The sequence below is a fragment of the Homo sapiens genome, chromosome 3 (assembly GCF_000001405.40).
Source record: "Homo sapiens chromosome 3, GRCh38.p14 Primary Assembly".
Taxonomy (NCBI): Eukaryota; Metazoa; Chordata; class Mammalia; order Primates; family Hominidae; genus Homo; species Homo sapiens.
The window spans coordinates 32,621,915-32,639,014 of NC_000003.12; the positions used below are offsets into that span (position 1 = coordinate 32,621,915).

General features: G+C 41.7%; 1 pseudogene; it reads right to left on the reverse strand.

Moving 5' to 3' along the window:
• Nucleotides 13,257–13,708, reverse strand: RPL30P4 (ribosomal protein L30 pseudogene 4; annotated as a pseudogene).

Consider the following 17,100-nt stretch of genomic DNA (forward strand, 5'->3'; position numbering starts at 1 on the left):
GTGTATTTTCTTTTTAAGAGAGACAGATCGCACTATTTTGCCCATGCTGGACTTAACCCCTGGGCTCAAGTGATTCTCCTTCCTCAGCCTCCCAAATATAAAAAATGTTAAAATTTTAAATGGATTGAAATCATTCAAATTATCTTCTTCAATCACAATGGAATCAAATTAAATTCAATAACAGAAGGAAATCTGGAGAATTTGCAAGTATGTGAAAATGAAACAGTACACTCATAAATAACTAAAGGGTCAAAAGAGAAATCACTGGTGAAATTAGAAAATACTTTGAGTTGAATAAAAATGAAAACACAATATTCAAAAACTTATGGGATTCAGATAAAACAGTGCTAACAGGAAATTTATAGCTGTAAGTACTTACAATTTAAAAAAAAGAAAGATGTCAAAACAATTGCCAACCTTCCTTATCATGAAACTAAAATAAGAAGAGCAAATTAAACCCAAAGCAAGTAGGAGGAAGGAAATAATAAAGATTCAAGCAGAAATAAATGAAATATAGAACAGAAAAGTAATGGAGAAAATAATCAAAATCAAAAGTTGGTTCTTTGAAAAGATCAACAAAATTGACAAATCTTTAGCTAGACTAGGAAAAAAGAGAGAAGATGCAGGTTTCTAAAATCAGGAATAAAAGAGGGAACATTACCACAGAGTTTACAGAAATAAAAAAGGTTATAAGGGACTACTATGAATAATTATATGTTAACAAATTAGATAACCTAGAAATAGAAAATCTCAATAGAGTTATAACAAGTGAAGAAAATGAATTAGTAATCTAGGCATCAACGTGCCAAGATAATCAGGATTCTTGATGTTAAGGAAGAGGAAGATTGCAGGAGGCTACCATCAGTCTCTGCCACAACTACTGTTGACACTTAGGTTGACACTCCTAGAATAACATATATGTGTAATTTATCATGTAGACCATTTGGTGACTTAACCAATTTGGTTTATTGGAAATTTAAAATGTAACAGCATTTCAAAGGAAGAAAGCCTGAGTTATTCACCAAGTTTACTACCTTGCCAAATTGGCGATTTGTCCGTAAAGAAACAATTGGTTGTTTTTTCTTACTTTGTTTTCTAACAGGGTAATGTGAAAGCGTTCTCTGACAGAGCTCATGTAATTCCATAGCTCCAGTTACTAACTGTACTAATTTCTCTAAAACTTTTTCTCTAGCCTAATGTTTTCTCTTAAGCTCCAGAGCCTTATACCCAGGGGCTTCCTGAACATCTCCGCTTGGATGTTTTGCAGGTGCTTCCAACTCTAGATGTCTAAAACTAGACTCTCTGGGTGTGGCCTTTCTTTCAGTTTTTTTTTCTTTCAAAAGATGTGATCTCACTATGTTGCCTAGGCTGGCTTTGAACTCCTGGGCTCACGCCATCTTCCCACCTCAGCCTTCTGAGTAGCTGGGACTAGGCATGTACCACTGTGTCCAGCTTGAGTGTGGCCTTTCTGATTAAAAGGTAGCCTTTTTGGCTGGGCGCAGCGGCTCACATCTGAAATCCCAGCACTTTGGGAGGCAAAGGTGGATAGATCGCTTGAGCCTAAGAGTTTGAGACTAGCCTGGGCAACATGGTGAAACCCCATCTCTACAAAAAATTAAAATAAAAAATTAGCTGGGCATGGTGGCATGCGCCTATAGTCCCAGCCACTTGGGAAGCTGAGATGGGAGGATCGCTTGAGCCTGTCTGTGTGGATTTATCTATTCTGGATATTTCATATAAATGAAATTGTACAAAATGTGACATTTCGTGTCTGGTTTCTTTCACTTAGCATAATATTTTGGAGGCCATCCACATTGTAGCACACATGAGTATTTTGTTTCTTTTTATGGCTGAATAATATCCCATTGTATTTCATTCCATAATTTGTTTATTCTCCATTGATGGACAGTTAGACTTTTTCTACTTTTTGGCTATTGTGTATAGTGCTGCTATGAATGTGTACATGTACTTGTTTGAGTGCTCATCTTCAATTCGTTTGGTATATCCTTAGTAATGAAATTGTAGGGTCATATGGCTATTTTATGTTTAACTTTTTGAGGAACCGCCAGTTTTTTACTGTGACTGAACCATTTTGCATTCCTACCACAAATTACCTGTGTTCCAGTTTCTTTACATCCTTACCAACATTTGTCATTTTCTGTTTGTTTGTTTTTTAAATAATAGCCATCTTGATGTTTGTGAAATGGTTTCTCACTGTGTTTTTGATTTGCATTTTCCTGATGATTAGTGATGTTGAGCATCTTCTCCTGTGCTTATTGGCCATTTGTTTATCTTCGTTTTTGTTTTACTTTATAATTCTTTATGCTTAAAATAATTTTTAATAGAGACAGGGTCTCACTATGTTGCCCAGGCTGGTTTTTCTTTTCTTTTCTTTTCTTTTTTTTTTTTTTTTGAGACGGAGTCTTGCTCTGTCACCAGGCTGGAGTGCAGTGGCGTGGTCTTGGCTCACTGCAACCTCCCGCCTCCCATTCTACTGCCTCAGCCTCCCGAGTAGCTGGGATTACAGGTGCCTGCCACCATGCCCAGCTAATTTTTGTATTTTTAGTAGAGATGGGGTTTTACCATGTTGGCCGGGATGGTCTCGAACTCCTGGCCTCAGGTGATCCGACCGCCTCGGCCTCCCAAAGTGCTGAGATTACAGGCGTGAGCCACTGCGCCTGGCCATCCCCCACAGGCTGGTCTTGAACTCCTGGCCTCAAGCAGTCCTCCTGCCTTGGCTTCCCAAAATGTGGAGATTACTAGCATGAGCCACCACACCCAGCCTGTATATCTTCTTTGGAGAAATATCTATTTAATTCCTTTGCCTTTTAAAAAATCAGATTGTTTGTTTTCCTGTTCTTGACTTGCAGGAGTTCTTTATGCATTCTGGATATTAATCCCTTGTCAGATATATGATTTGCATATATATTCTCCCATATCATAGGTTATTTTTTCACTCTGTTGATAGTGTCCTTTGATGCATGAAAGTTTTTACTTCTGATGAGTTCAGTTTATCTATTTTTTCTTTGGTTTCCTGTGCACTTGGTGTCATATCCAAGAAATCATTGCCAAATCCAGTGTCATGAAGTTTTTCCCTGTTTTTGTCTAAGAGTTTTATAGTGTTGCTCTTATGTTTAGAGCTTTGATCCATTTTGAGTTAATTTTTTTCTTTTCTAGACCTTTGATAATTAATTTTTCTATATAAGAGTTCAACTTCATTCTTTTGCATATGGAGATCCTGTTTGCCTCTTCTACTCTTTTGTTTTTAGCTTTTTATATTTAATGGATGCTCATGTGGAAACAATTTTGAAGTTACTAATCCATTTTCCCATCCTCAGTTATTATTTTTTTTTTTTTTGCAGCCTGAATAAAAGGCTGGATAACTGTCCCCAATTATTATTTTATAACAGCTTTATTGAGATATAATTCACATACCATACCATTCACGCATTTAGAATGTACAATTCAGTGATTCTTAGTGGCCCTATCATCACAATAATTTTAGAACATTTTTATCACCCCAAAAAGAAACTCATACCCTTTATAGCAGTCGCCCTGAGAGGTGACAGCGTGCGCCCTCGCTCGCTCTCGGCGCCTCCTCGGTCTTGGCGGCCACTCTGGCCGCGCTTGAGGAGCCCTTCAGCCCACCGCTGCACTGTGGGAGCCCCTTTCTGGGCTGGCCAAGGCCGGAGCTGGCTCCTTCAGCATGCAGGGAGGTGTGGAGGGAGAGGCGCCAGCGGGAACCCGGGCAGCGCGCGGTGCTTGAGGGCCAGCTGGAGTTCCGGGTGGGCGTGGGCTTGGCGGGCCCCCGCACTCTGAGTGGCTGGCCGGCCGGCCCTGCCGGCCCCGCGCAATGAGGGGCTTAGCATCTGGGCCAGCGGCTGCGGAGGGTGTGCTGGGTCCCCCAGTAGTGCCGGCCCACTCGATTTCTCGCCGGGCCTTAGCTGCCTTCCCTCGGGGCAGGGCTCGGGACCTGCAGCCCGCCATGCCTGAGCCTCCCCCCTCCCTCCGTGAGCTCTTGTGCTACCGGAGCGTCCCCGACGAGCGCCGCCCCCTGCTCCACAGCGCCCAGTCCCATCGACCACCCAAGGGCTGAGGAGTGCGGGCGCAGGGCACAGGACTGGCAGGCAGCTCCACCTGCCGCCCCTGTGAGGGATCCACTGGGTGAAGCCAGCTGGGCTCCTGAGTCTGGTGGGGACTTGGAGAACCTTTATGTCTAGCTAAGGGATTGTAAATACACCAATTGGCACTGTGTATCTAGCTCAAGGTTTGTAAACACACCAATCAGCACCCTGTGTCTAGCTCAGGGTTTGTGAATATACCAATGGACACTCTGTATCTAGCTACTCTGGTGGGGACTTGCAGAACCTTTATGTCTAGCTAAGGGATTGTGAATACACCAATCGGCACTCTGTATCTAGCTCAAGGTTTGTAAACACACCAATCAGCACCCTGTGTCTAGCTCAGGGTTTGTGAATGCACCAATTGATACTCTGTATCTAGCTACTCTGGTGGGGACTTGGAGAACCTTTGTGTCAACAATCTGTATCTAGCTAATCTAGTGGGGACGTGGAGAACCTTTGTGTCTAGCTCAGGGATTGTAAACGCACCAATCAGCACCCTGTCAAAACAGACCACTCGGCTCTCTGTAAAATGGACCAATCAGCAGGATGTGGGTGGGGCCAGATAAGAGAATAAAAGCAGGCTGCCTGAGCTCGCAGCGGTAACTGGGTGAGGTTCTTTTGTACGGTGTGGAAGCTTTGTTTCTTCGCTCTTTGTAGTAAATTTTGTTGCTGCTCACCGTTCCTTTGGGAGCTGTAGCATTCACCGCCAAAGTTTGCAGCTTTATTCTGGAGCCAGAGAGACCACGAAGCCGCCGGGAGGAATGAGTAACTGCAGATGCGCCGCATTAAGAGCTGTAATACTCACCGGGAAGGTTCGCAGCTTCAGTTCTGAGCCAGCGAGACCACGAAGCCGCAGGGAGGAACCAACAATTCCAGATGCGCTGCCTTAAGAGCTGTAACACCGCGAAGGTCTGCAGCTGCACTCTTCAGCCAGCGAGCCACGAACCCAGCCGGAAGGAAGAAACTCCAAACACATCTCCACATCAGAAGGAACAAACTGTGGACACGCCGCCTTTAAGAACTGTAACACTCACTGTGAGGGTGCTTGGCTTCATTGTTGAAGTCTGTGAGACCAAGAACCCGCCATTTCTAGGCACAATGTCTCATTTTCTCTCAGCCATTCCAGACTTTACTACTAATCTACTTTGTTTCCAGAGATTTGCCTATTATCAATATTTCACAAAAGGATCATAGAATATGTGGTGAGCTATTTTTATTCACTAACACTTAAGACCAAAATGTGTGGGTTTTTTTTTCCTAATATCAGCCAAATTCTCCAGTTCTCCAGACACCAACTGGGTGTCCAAAAACTCAATTTAAATCTGACAACACACTCCACAGAATTAGTGTCACACCAAGTTAAGGACTCATTCATACAGAATCATCCCCTCTTCAGTCACCAATTGCAAGTGCAAGGTTGCTACTTTTACTTCTGACCAGCTAGCTATAAATTGGAGATCTCATGAGACCCTACTCAGGCCTAGTGATTTACTAGAGTGTCTCACAAAACTCAAGGAAATGGTCTACTTGCCATTACCAGTTTATTCCAAAGGATACAAACTAGGAAAAGAGAAATAGAACAGAAAAATAAGACAAGGTAGATGGGCAAGGGAAACAAAGTTTCTATGTCTGCTCTGACATACCACCCTGCCAAGTACCTCGATGTGTTCACCTACTTGAAAACTCTTCAAACCCAACATTTAGGGGTTTTTATGGAGATTTCATTACTTATCCATGATTGATTAGATCACTGGTGATTGGTGATTAGCTCAATCTCCTGCCTCTCTCCCGTCCAAGGAGGTCAGGGGGTGGGAATGAAACATCCAACCCTCTAATCATGCCTCGTCTTCCTGGAGACCATCCCCCATTCTACAGTTATCTAGGAGTTACCAGCCACCAGTCATTTCATCAGCATGCAAAAGATACTTATTACTCCAGAGATTCTAAGAGTTTTGGGAGCTTTGTGTCAGAAACTGGAGTCAAAGACCAAATATTTATTGTTTATTACATACATGTAGTTTTTTGTAACTGGCCTCTTTCACTTAGCATAATACTTTCAAGGTTTATTCAGGCTGTGATCAGTGGCTCACACCTGTAATCCCAGCACTTTGGGAAGCTGAGGCAGGCAGATCATCTGAGGCCAGGAGTTCAAGACTAGCCTGGCCAAATGGTGAAAACCTGTCTCTACTAAAACTACAAAAATTAGCTGGATGTGGTGGCAGGCGCCTGTAATCCCAGCTACTTGGGAGGCTGAGGCAGGAGAATCACTTGAACCTGGGAGGTGGAGGTTGCAGTGTGCCGAGAATGGCGTGAACCCAGGAGGCGGAGCTTGCAGTGAGTCAAGGTTGAGCCACTGCACTCCAGCCTGGGTGACAGAGCAAGACTCCATCTCAAAAAAAAAAAAAATTATATATGTATATATATATGGTTTGGTTTGGTTTTGTTTTGAGATGGAGTTTCACTCTTGTTGCCCAGGCTGCAGTGCAATGGTGCAATCTCGGCTCACTGCAACCTTCGCCTCCCGGGTTCAAGCCATTCTCCTGCCTCAGCCTCCCAAGTAGCTGGAATTACAGGCGCCCACCACCACACCTGGCCATGGTTTTCTTTTATTAATCTGCCTTTTGTTATAGGGGCCTCAGCCGTGGACCTTTTAATGGGTAAGATATTATTATTTTTCTTTCCCACAATATACTCACTAAACGTCCAGCAGTGGAAATGGTGTGCATGTCATTTGTGATTTTGATGAAATATTATTGCATTAAATTTAGAAAAGCAGTTGACATACAGTAAAGAGTTAACTTGAGACAATGAATGTCATGGGATAATGCTTGATTTGGTAAAAGGTTTCATCTAAATAGTTCTCGTTGTCCCTTAGCATAGGGAATTTCTTACTCAAGCTAGTCTTGTTTAATAAATTTCCATTTTCCAGCATTTGATTAATCTTGACAGTTGGGGTGTAAGCGGTGATCCCAGCACTTTGGGAGGCCAAGGCAGGTGGATTGGTTGAGTCCAGGCGTTTGAGACCAGCCTGGGCAACATGGTGAAACCCCGTCTTTATAAGAAATACAAAACAACTGGGGCCGGACGCAGTGGCCCACGCCTGTAATCCCAGCACTTTGGGAGGCCAAGGAGGGAGGATCATCTGAGGTTGGGAGTTCAAGACCAGCCTGGCCAATACAGTGAAACCCCGTCTCTACTAAAAATACAAAAAATTAGCTGGGCGTGGGGGCGCACACCTGTAATTCCAGCTACTCGGGAGGCTGAGGCAAGAGAATCACTTAAACTAAGGAGGCAAGGTTGCAGTGAGCCAAGATCACACCACTGCACTCCAGCCTGGGTGACAGAACAAGACTCCATCTCAAAAAAAAAACAAAAAAAACCCAAAACCAATTAGCTGAGCCTGGTGGCATGTACCTGTAGTAACAACTACTAGGGAGACTGAGGTAAGAGGATTGCTTGAGCCCAGGAGATCGAGGCTGTAGTGAGCCATGATTGTGCCACTGCACTCCAGTCTGGGTGACAGAGCTAGACCCTGTCTTTAAGAAAAAAAACCCCAAAAACTTAACAATTGGGGTTCTCCCTGGAAACACTGCAGCAAGATGCTACACCTTCCAGAAAGCATAAAAATAATTCTCTATTTATTTGTTGCCTGGCAACAATACTCTTTATTTTTATTCACAGGGAAATTTCAGAAATATTTGCTGATCAGTGCAACTGTGGCAAGGAAGGGGAAAAGTGAAAATAGCTCTCTTAAGGTTCAAAAATTGATATGGCAGTTTAACCTTTTTCATTTGTATAGACCTAGGTGGTGCTCATGACCCTGAAGAGCAAAAAGCATATCAAATGTAAAGGCAGAGTGAATATGATCAGAGAGGATCAAGGGTCTTTGGGATACACTACGTGAAGGTGTTGCAGTTCTCAGGAGGTACGGGTTCAGATTGCATTTATAAGGCTCAACAGTAGGGCTCAGGCTAAATTTTATTTTATTGTCCATCCTGATTAGTCCCTGTGGTAGCAGTATTTTTGTTTCACAACTCCTTCCTTCCCCAAGCTTGCTATGGTTTACTATAGATAAAGTACGCTTCTCCACCTAATTCACGTTGGGCATGGTCAATACAATGTGGGTGGATGTATCATATGCTATATCTGACCAGAGACTTTATATGAGTTTGTGAAATTTGGCATGACCTCCTGCATTTCTGCCTTTTGCTTTGAGGAGAGAATGCCCCAAGTAGCCATTGCCCATTTAGCCTGGGTCCTGGAATGAGAAACACATAGGAAAGACCCAAACCTAAGCCCAAGTGAGCCTGGACAACCCACATGCAGTGCACAGACCAGTGAGTGAAAAATAAATATTTGTTCTTATGAATCACTGACATTTGGGAGTTACCTGTTGTGCAACACTATTGCATTAAATCTTGACTAATACAATCATTGAGAAACTAATTGTTCTCATCAGTGCCTATTGTGAACAATCAAACAGACTAGAATGTGCGCAATGGGTTTCAATCAGGTGTTCCCATTTTCCCAGGCATCAGTCAGATGGAGCAAAGTCTATGTAAGAGACCAACTGGCTTGTCTTGAGGATGCTGAGGGTGTTCTTAAAAGGGAAATTTGTGGGGGTTTTTAAAAGTCTGTGTTTATATACTAGACACAAATATTCCAGAAATATTATTGGTGGGAAAATCAAATTACAGAACATAATGAGAGTGACTTGTATGGACACTCTCATTCAGAAAAACATGCAATCTAGCAGCTTCAGAATTTCTATATAGGTGGGCTGGATGTGTACATAACAATCTCATTAGAAGGGAGTTGGGTCAAACAAGGAGGCTTGACCTTGTATTTGCATAGCACCTTAATATAATTGAAAAATATCCCAATTGGCTATATCAAATAATTGGTTGGAGAGAAGCTGATGAAGATTATGTGGGAACTCTAAAACCCCACACTCACACATAATCCCCAGCTGAGACAGTGTTAGATTAAGTGTATCTATAAATATGTCAAGAGGGGACATAGAAATGTACATATCAAAATGTTAATGGAAATTATAAGTGAAAAGTGAAATTTGGGGGAATCTTTACCGTCTTCTTTGTACTTATCTGTATTGTTGGAATCTTTTGCACTGAACATATATCATTTCCCCCAAAACAATGAAGCTATTTTCTACAGAGAAAAGGAATTCTACTGACCTCCACTTTTTCCTTTATCTCAATTTAATCACCTAAATGGTGCCTAAAAATCCCTAAATTTTAGTTTTCCCCACTATGTCTTTTTTTTTTTTTTTTTTTTTTGAGATGGAGTCTCTCTCTGTCACCCAGGCTGGAGTGCAGTAGTGTGATCTCAGGTCACTGCAACCTCCACCTCCCGGGTTCAAGTGATTCTTCTGCCTCAGCCTCCCAAGTAGCTGGGACTACAGGCACATGCCAACACACCCAGCTAATTTTTTTTTTTTTTGTATTTTTAGCAGAGACAGGGTTTCACCATATTGTCCAGGCTGGTCTCGAACTCCTGACCTTGTGATCTGCCTGCTTTGGCCTCTCAAAGTGCTGGGATTACAGGTGTGAGCCACCTTGCACGGCCCCCCACTATGTCTTACCTTTTTTTTTTTTTAAGCTATTATCTTTTTCTCAAAACAACCAAATATAAAACAACACAAGGCATGTAAAAGAGCCCTGGTCTGATGGCTAAGATTCCAGTTCCAGCTCTCTATTTCTCTCAGGACCTCGGCCTCTGCATCTAAAAAGAGAAGGATTGAACTAATTAGTAGTTACAAACTCAGGTACCTATAGGAACCAAGGAGGAGCCAATGAGAGAAGCAAGTGGGCTGGAAACAGTGGGGCTGTATTGCACGGGAGGATACCAGCCTAGCTAAAGGAGGAAGCCTTTATTCTGTACCACAGAAGGCTGTGCTACAGGGTTTCAGGCCCAGGGTTGCAAGATCTTGCAATTTATTAAGTCTGGAAATCAAGTTTTTATATGAAATCTCCTGATTTTTAAATGTTGGCAAGTAAAATTTTAAAATGTTTTGTGAATGCCGGGCACGGTGGCTCACACCTGTAATCCTAGCATTTTGGGAGGTGGAGGCAAGTGGATCACAAGGTCAGGAGATCGAGACCATTCTGGCCAACATGGTGAAACCCCGTCTCTACTAAAAATACAAAAATTAGTCAGGTGTGGTGGCGCGTTCCTGTAGTCCCAGCTACTCAGGAGGCTGAGGCAAGAGAATTGCTTGAACCCAGGAGGCGGAGGTTGTGGTGAGCCAAGATCGCGCCACTGCACTCCAGCCTGGGCGACAGAGCGAAACTCGGTCTCAAAAAAAAAAAAAAAGTTTTGTGAATTCCTTTCCGACCAAAAACCTCAGCTATGAATCCGTCTGGCAGCCAGTGAGTGACACTGGGTCAGATGACCTTCAGGCTCCTTGTGTCACTCTCCTGGAGCCCACCCAGGGGCAACCTAGTGACAGGAGACCTCACAGTTCCCAAGATAGCATTGTTAAAAAAAAAAAAGAAGAACTATTTGTTTTGTTTTTTAATTGAACAGATCAAGTAAGAGATAATTTATTTGTATGTCAAAAAATTTATCTAACTAATGGGCTTGCTAAATGACCTCTGTGGCTCAATTAAAATATAATTGAATATACCAAAACATGATTTCTTCATAGCCATGGGGATCATGGGATTATGCAAAGCAAACATTCCAGGCACTGTTCTAATGTTTTAAAGTATTATTTTATTTAATCCTTACTCTAATCCTGTGAGTGAAATTTATTGCCATACCCAAGTCATCTAAGTTTTCTTTTATGTTATATTCTAGGAGTTTTAGAGTTTTGAGGTTTACATTTAGTTTTATGATCCATTTTAAGTTAGTTTTTGTGAAAAATTTAAGATCTGTTATCTAGATTTGGGTTTTGTTTGTTTGTTTTACATGTGGATGTCCAGTTTTTCCAGTACCATTTGTTGAAAAGACTATTTTTGGCCAGATGTGATGGCTCATGCCTGTAGTCCCAGCACTTTGGGAGGTTGAAGTGGGCGGATCACTTGAGGTCAGGATTTCGAGACAAGCCTGGCCAATATGGTGAAACCCCGTCTCTACTAAAAATACAGAAGTTAGCCAGGAGTGGCGGCTTGTGCTTATAGTCCCAGCTACTCAGGAGGCTAAGGCAGGAGAATCGCTTGAACCCAGGAGGTGAAGGTTGCAGTGAGTCGAGATCACACCACTGCACTCCAGCCTGGACAACAGAATGAGACTCTGTCTGAAAAAAAAAAAAGAAAAGAAAAGACTTTTTTTTTGCTCCATTATATTGCCTTTGCTCCTTTGTCAAAGATCAATTGACTATATTTATGTGGGTCTATTTCTGGGATCTCTGTTCTGTTTTATTGATCTTTTGTTTGTTTGTTTGTTTGTTTTTGAGACGGAGTCTCACTCTGTCACCCAGGCTGGAGTGCAGTGGTGTGATCTTGGCTCACTGCAAGCTCCCCCTCCCAGGTTCACGCCATTCTCCCGCCTCAGCCTCCCAAGTAGCTGGGACTACAGGCGCCTGCCACCATGCCCAGCTAATTTTGCTTTTGTATTTTTAGTAGAGACGAGGTTTCACTGTGTTAGCCAGGATAGTCTCAATCTCCTGACCTTGTGATCCGCCTGCCTCAGCCTCCCAAAGTGCTGTGTTTGTGTTTACAGGCGTGAGTCACCGTGCCTGGCCTTGATCTGTTTGTTCTTTCATCAACACCACATTATCTTGATTACTACAGCTTTATATTAAGTCTTGAAGTCAGGTAGTGTCAGTTCTCCAGCTTTACTCTTCTTCAATATTGTATTGACTATTCTGGGTCTTATGCCTTTCCATGTAAACTTTAGAATCAGTTTGTTGATATCCACAAAATAACTTGCTGAGACTGGGATTGGGATTGCTTTGAATCTATAGATTAAGTTGGAAAGAATGACATCTTGACTCTATTGAGCCTTCCTATCCATGAACATGGAATATCTCTCCATTTATTTAGTTCTTCTTTGATTTTGTTCATCAGAGTTTTCCAGTTTTCCTTGTATAGATTTAGTACACATTTTGTTAGTTTTATACCTAAGTATTTCATTTTGGGGGGTGATAATGTAAATTATACTGTTTTTAATTTCAAATTCCACTTGTTCAGTGCTGGTGTATAGGTATATAGTTTCCTTTGTAATGTTTTTGGCTGGTTTGGTATTAGGGTTTAGTTAGGAAGTAGTATCCCCTTCTGCATCTATCCTCTGAAAGAGAAAGTAGATAATTAGTAGAATTTCTTCTATAGACATTTGGTAGAATTCACCAGTGAATCCATCTAGGGCTAGGTCTGGTGCTTTCTGTTTTGAAAAGTTATTAATTATTCACTCAATGTCTTTAATAGATACAGGCCTATTCAGATTGTCTATTGCTTCTTGTGTGTTTTGGCAGTTTGTGTCTTTCAAGGAATTGATCCATTTCATCTAGGCTATCAAATCTGTGGGCATAAAGATGTTGATAGTATTCTTTTATTATCCTTCTATTGCCCATCATATCTGTAGTGATGTCACCTCTGTAATTTCTGATATCAGTAATTTGTGTTCTCTCTTTTTTTCTTGGCCTAACTCATTGTTTCTTAAACCTATGTTAGTCAGATTTTTGTCCATACCACTTCCCAGAAACTGCCTTTGTCAAGGTCAACAATGACCTTCACTTGTCAATTCCAAAGGTCAGCTTTCAGTCTTCATCTTTCTTGACCTATTGGCAACACTGGACCCAGCTGATCACTCCCACTTCCTGGAAACACTGGCCTCACTTGGCTTCTATGACACCACAATTCCCCGATTTTCTTTCTGCCTCCTGTGGTTCTGTTCCTGGTCCTTTGCTGTTTCTTTCTAATCCCCACAGCCTCTTAATGTTAGAGGAGTTTAGGGCTCAGACCTTGGACGACCTCTCCTCTTTTCTACCCTCATTCTCATGGCAAACTCATCCAAATCTTATAGTTTTCGATATTACTATATGATGATGACTCTCAAAAGTATCTCTAGTACAGACATCCTCTTCCCTGAATTCCAGAACTGTGAACTTAATGGTCTACTGAATATCTTTATTTAAGACAAATGGGGCATCTCAATCTTTTTTTTTTTTTTAAACAAGCTCAGGCAAATTTTATTAAAGGAAAATTTTGCATCGTTTACTTTTCACCAGTTTGTTCTGGCGTGCTTCTAACGATGTCAGAGTCACCTGGATCAATGATAGCCAGTGTGCACACTCTGTAGTATTTTCCACATGCTGTGCCCAGTTCAATATTATTGCCACTGTAGTGATGGACACCAGTTTTGGCCAACATTGCATAGTACTCTATTTCGGATTTCCTCAAAGCTGAGCAGTTGTTAGCAAGAATGACCAATTTAGCTTTGCCTTGGCTTCAGAGTCTGCTTGTACCCCAGCACGTACTTTCCACTTTTCATAATGAGTTGGAGCCTAGAGTTGATCGACTCCAGTGACTTTTTCATCTTCTTTGCGGCCACCATGTTCCTGCCTTAGGTGCGAGATGGCCCTCCACCAAGAGCAGCCGCTAAGATGGCCAGGACGCGAGAAAAAAAAAAGGGCATCCCAATCTTAACAAGTTCAAACTGAGCTCCTAATATTCTACCTCAGACTTACTCCGTCTGCCCTCTTTTACATCTTGGTTCTTGGGTTGGCATCTTCCATGACTCTTCTTTTTCTCTTATACCTCCCGCTCACCCATCTTAGTCTGTCAGCAAATTCTCCTGGCCCTACATTCAGAATATATCCAGGTATAACCATTTCTTATCACTTCTGCTATCATCTGGATCCAAACTCCTGTTACCTCCCACGTGAATTATTTAATTAGCCTCCTTTCTTGTCTCACTACTTTTATACTTGCCTCTGAAAATCTGTTCTCAACATAGCAGCCAGAAAAATTATGTTAAAATGGAAGTCAGGATGGGGTGATGGCTCACACCTGTAATCCCAACACTCTGGGAGGCTGAGACAGGAGGATCACTTGAGGCCAGAAGTTTGAGACCAGCCCGGGCAACATAACAAGACCCTGTATCTACAGAAATTTTAAAAATTAGCCTGGTGATACGGTGCATGGCTATAGTCCCAGCTACTAGGGAGGCTAAGGTAAGAGGATCGCTTGAGCCCAGGAGTTTGAGGCTGCAGTGAGCCATGATTGTGTTGTGCCACTGCACTCTAGCATGGGTGACAGAATGACACCCTGTCTCACAAAAATAAAATGGAGATCAGAGCATATCACTCTTCTGCTCAAATCCCTGCAGTGGCTTTCCATTTCTGTCAGAGAGGAAGCTAAAGTTCTTATAGTGCCTAAGATGCTCTGTATAATCTGAATGCCCTTTACCTGTCTGATTCATTTACTACTCTCCTTCACACATATTTCTCTCCATTTATACAAATGGAATTTGTCCTTGTTTTGCCTCAAACTTGCCAGTATGGCTACATCTTAAGGGCCTTTGGAACATCCATCTATTTGAAGTGATTCTCCCCTGCCACCAGATATTCATATGGCTCATTCCCTTTTCTTCTTCAATTTTTGCTCAACTGTCACCTTCTTAAGGAGGTCTACCCTGCCCACCCCATTAAAACATAGTCCCTCCCCTCCTCCCCTGAACACTTTTTCCTTGCTTTACTCTTTTTTTCCCATGGTGACTTATCCCCTCTATCATACCACAGAATTAGCATAGCTCTTATATTTATTGTTTACTGCCTATCTCCTGGCAGCTAGAAAGGCAAGCTCTTTGAAAGCAAGGATTTTGTCTATTCTGTTCTCTGAAGTATCCCCACCATCTAGAATAGTGCCTTCACAGTGAGAAGGACCTGTATTAGGACTTTTGACATCATTGACATTGTTTGGAATTCTTTTATGTTAAAATTATTAGATTTAGTAAATGTAAAAATATAAAATACATTACACAATATATCACATATTTGTCACCCTGTCTGTGCATTTCTGTGTATATATAAAACTAAGAACCTAAAAAAATTAGGTAGTCTGAAACTCTTTTGATCTCTGAGGGACTCTAAGTGAATATTTCAGAGTTGCTACATTTGAAGAAATCATATTTATTGATGTACATCTCTTAAGGAGGCAAATTAAGAATTCTTAGCTGGGTGTAGTGCTGCAAGCCTGTAGTCCTAGCTACTTAGGAGGCTGAGATGGGAGGATCGCTTGAGCCCAGGAGTTCAAGGCCAGCCTGAGCAGCATAGTGAGATCCTGTATCTTAACAACACCAAAAAAATTCTGTGAAAAATAATTGTTTTCTTTTTTTTTTCGAGACAGAGTCTCACTCTTGTCACCCAGGCTGGAGTACAGTGGCACGATCTTGGCTCACTGCAACCTGGGCCTCCCAGGTTCAAGTGATTTTCCTGCCTCAGCCTCCTTAGTAGCTGGGATTACAGGTATGCACCACCACATCGGGCTAATTTTTGTATTTTTAGTAAAGACGGGGTTTCACCATGTTGGCCAGGCTGGTCTCGAACTCTTGACCTCAAGTGATTCACTCACCTCGGCCTCCCAAAGTGCTGGGATTATAGGGGTGAGCCACCATGCCCAGCCAGTATATGCTGTTTTATTTATTTTATCCAGCATTTTATTTGTGAGATTCATCCATATTGTCCATAGTTGTAGGTAGTTAATTTTTATTGTATTATGGTATTCATCACATGAATATATCATGATTTATTTACCTATTCAACTGTTGATGAGTAGTGAGATCGTTTCCCATTTAGGCTATTACAAATTGTGCTTTTATGAATATTCAAGTACATGTATATTATAGGTCAAACTGTGTCTTCCAAAAAGATATATGAAGTCCTAAACCTCTGGTCCATGTGAATGTGACCTTATTTGGAAATATCTTTGCAGATATCTGCAAAGTTAGATGAGGTCATATCCAATTTGGGGGACTCTAATCCAGTACGACTGATATCCTTATAGAAGAGGAGGAAAGAAACCAACATAGAGACACACAGGGAGAACTCCATGAGAAAACAAAGGGAGAGATTGGAGTGATGCTGTAAACCAAGGAAAGACAAAATTTGCCAGCCACCTCTGGAAGCCAGGATAAAGGCATGGAACAGACTCTCCCTCAGAGCCCTCAGAAGACCCAATCCTACCAACAGGGTTGATTTGGGACCTCTAGCCTCTAGAACTGTGAGAGAACAGATTTCTGTTCTGTCAATACATTTCTAATTTGTGCTTTTTCACAGCAGCCTTAGGAAACAAATACAATGTCTTTTGGAGAACTTACGCTAAGCAGTTTTCCAAAGTGTTTGATCATTTGGAGCTGGGCACAGTAGTGCACTCCTGTAGTCCAAGCTACTCAGGAGGTTGAGGTGGGAAGATCCCTTGAGCCCATGTGTTCAAGGCCAGCCTGGGCAACAAAGTGAGACCCTGTCTCAAAAAAAAAATTAAGTGCTTGGTCATTTTATATTCACACTAGTTGTATATAAGACTTCTAGTTACTCCACATCATCACTAGCACTTGGTATTGTCAATCTTTTTAGCCCTTCTAATGAATGTGTAGTAATATCACACTGTGGTTTTAATTTCTTTAATGACTAATGTTGTTGGACATATTTTCATGTGCTTATTTGCCATTTATACATCTTTAGTAAAGAGCATTCAAATCTCTTACCATTTTTAAAATTGGATAAGTTGTTTTATTATTGAGTTTTGAAAATTCTTTGTATATTCTGGACACAAGTTCTTTACCAGATAAGTGTCTTATAAATATTTTCTGCCAGGCTATAATTTGCCTTTTCCATCTCTTAACAATATCTTTCAAAGAGAAAAAGGTTTGACTTTGAAGAACTCTAATTTACTAATTTTGTTATGGATTATGCTTTTGGTTTTGTATCTAAGAAATCTTTGCCTACCCCAGGCTCAAAATATTTTTTTCCCTAGCTGGACACAGTGGCTTATGCCTATAATTCAAATGCTTTAGG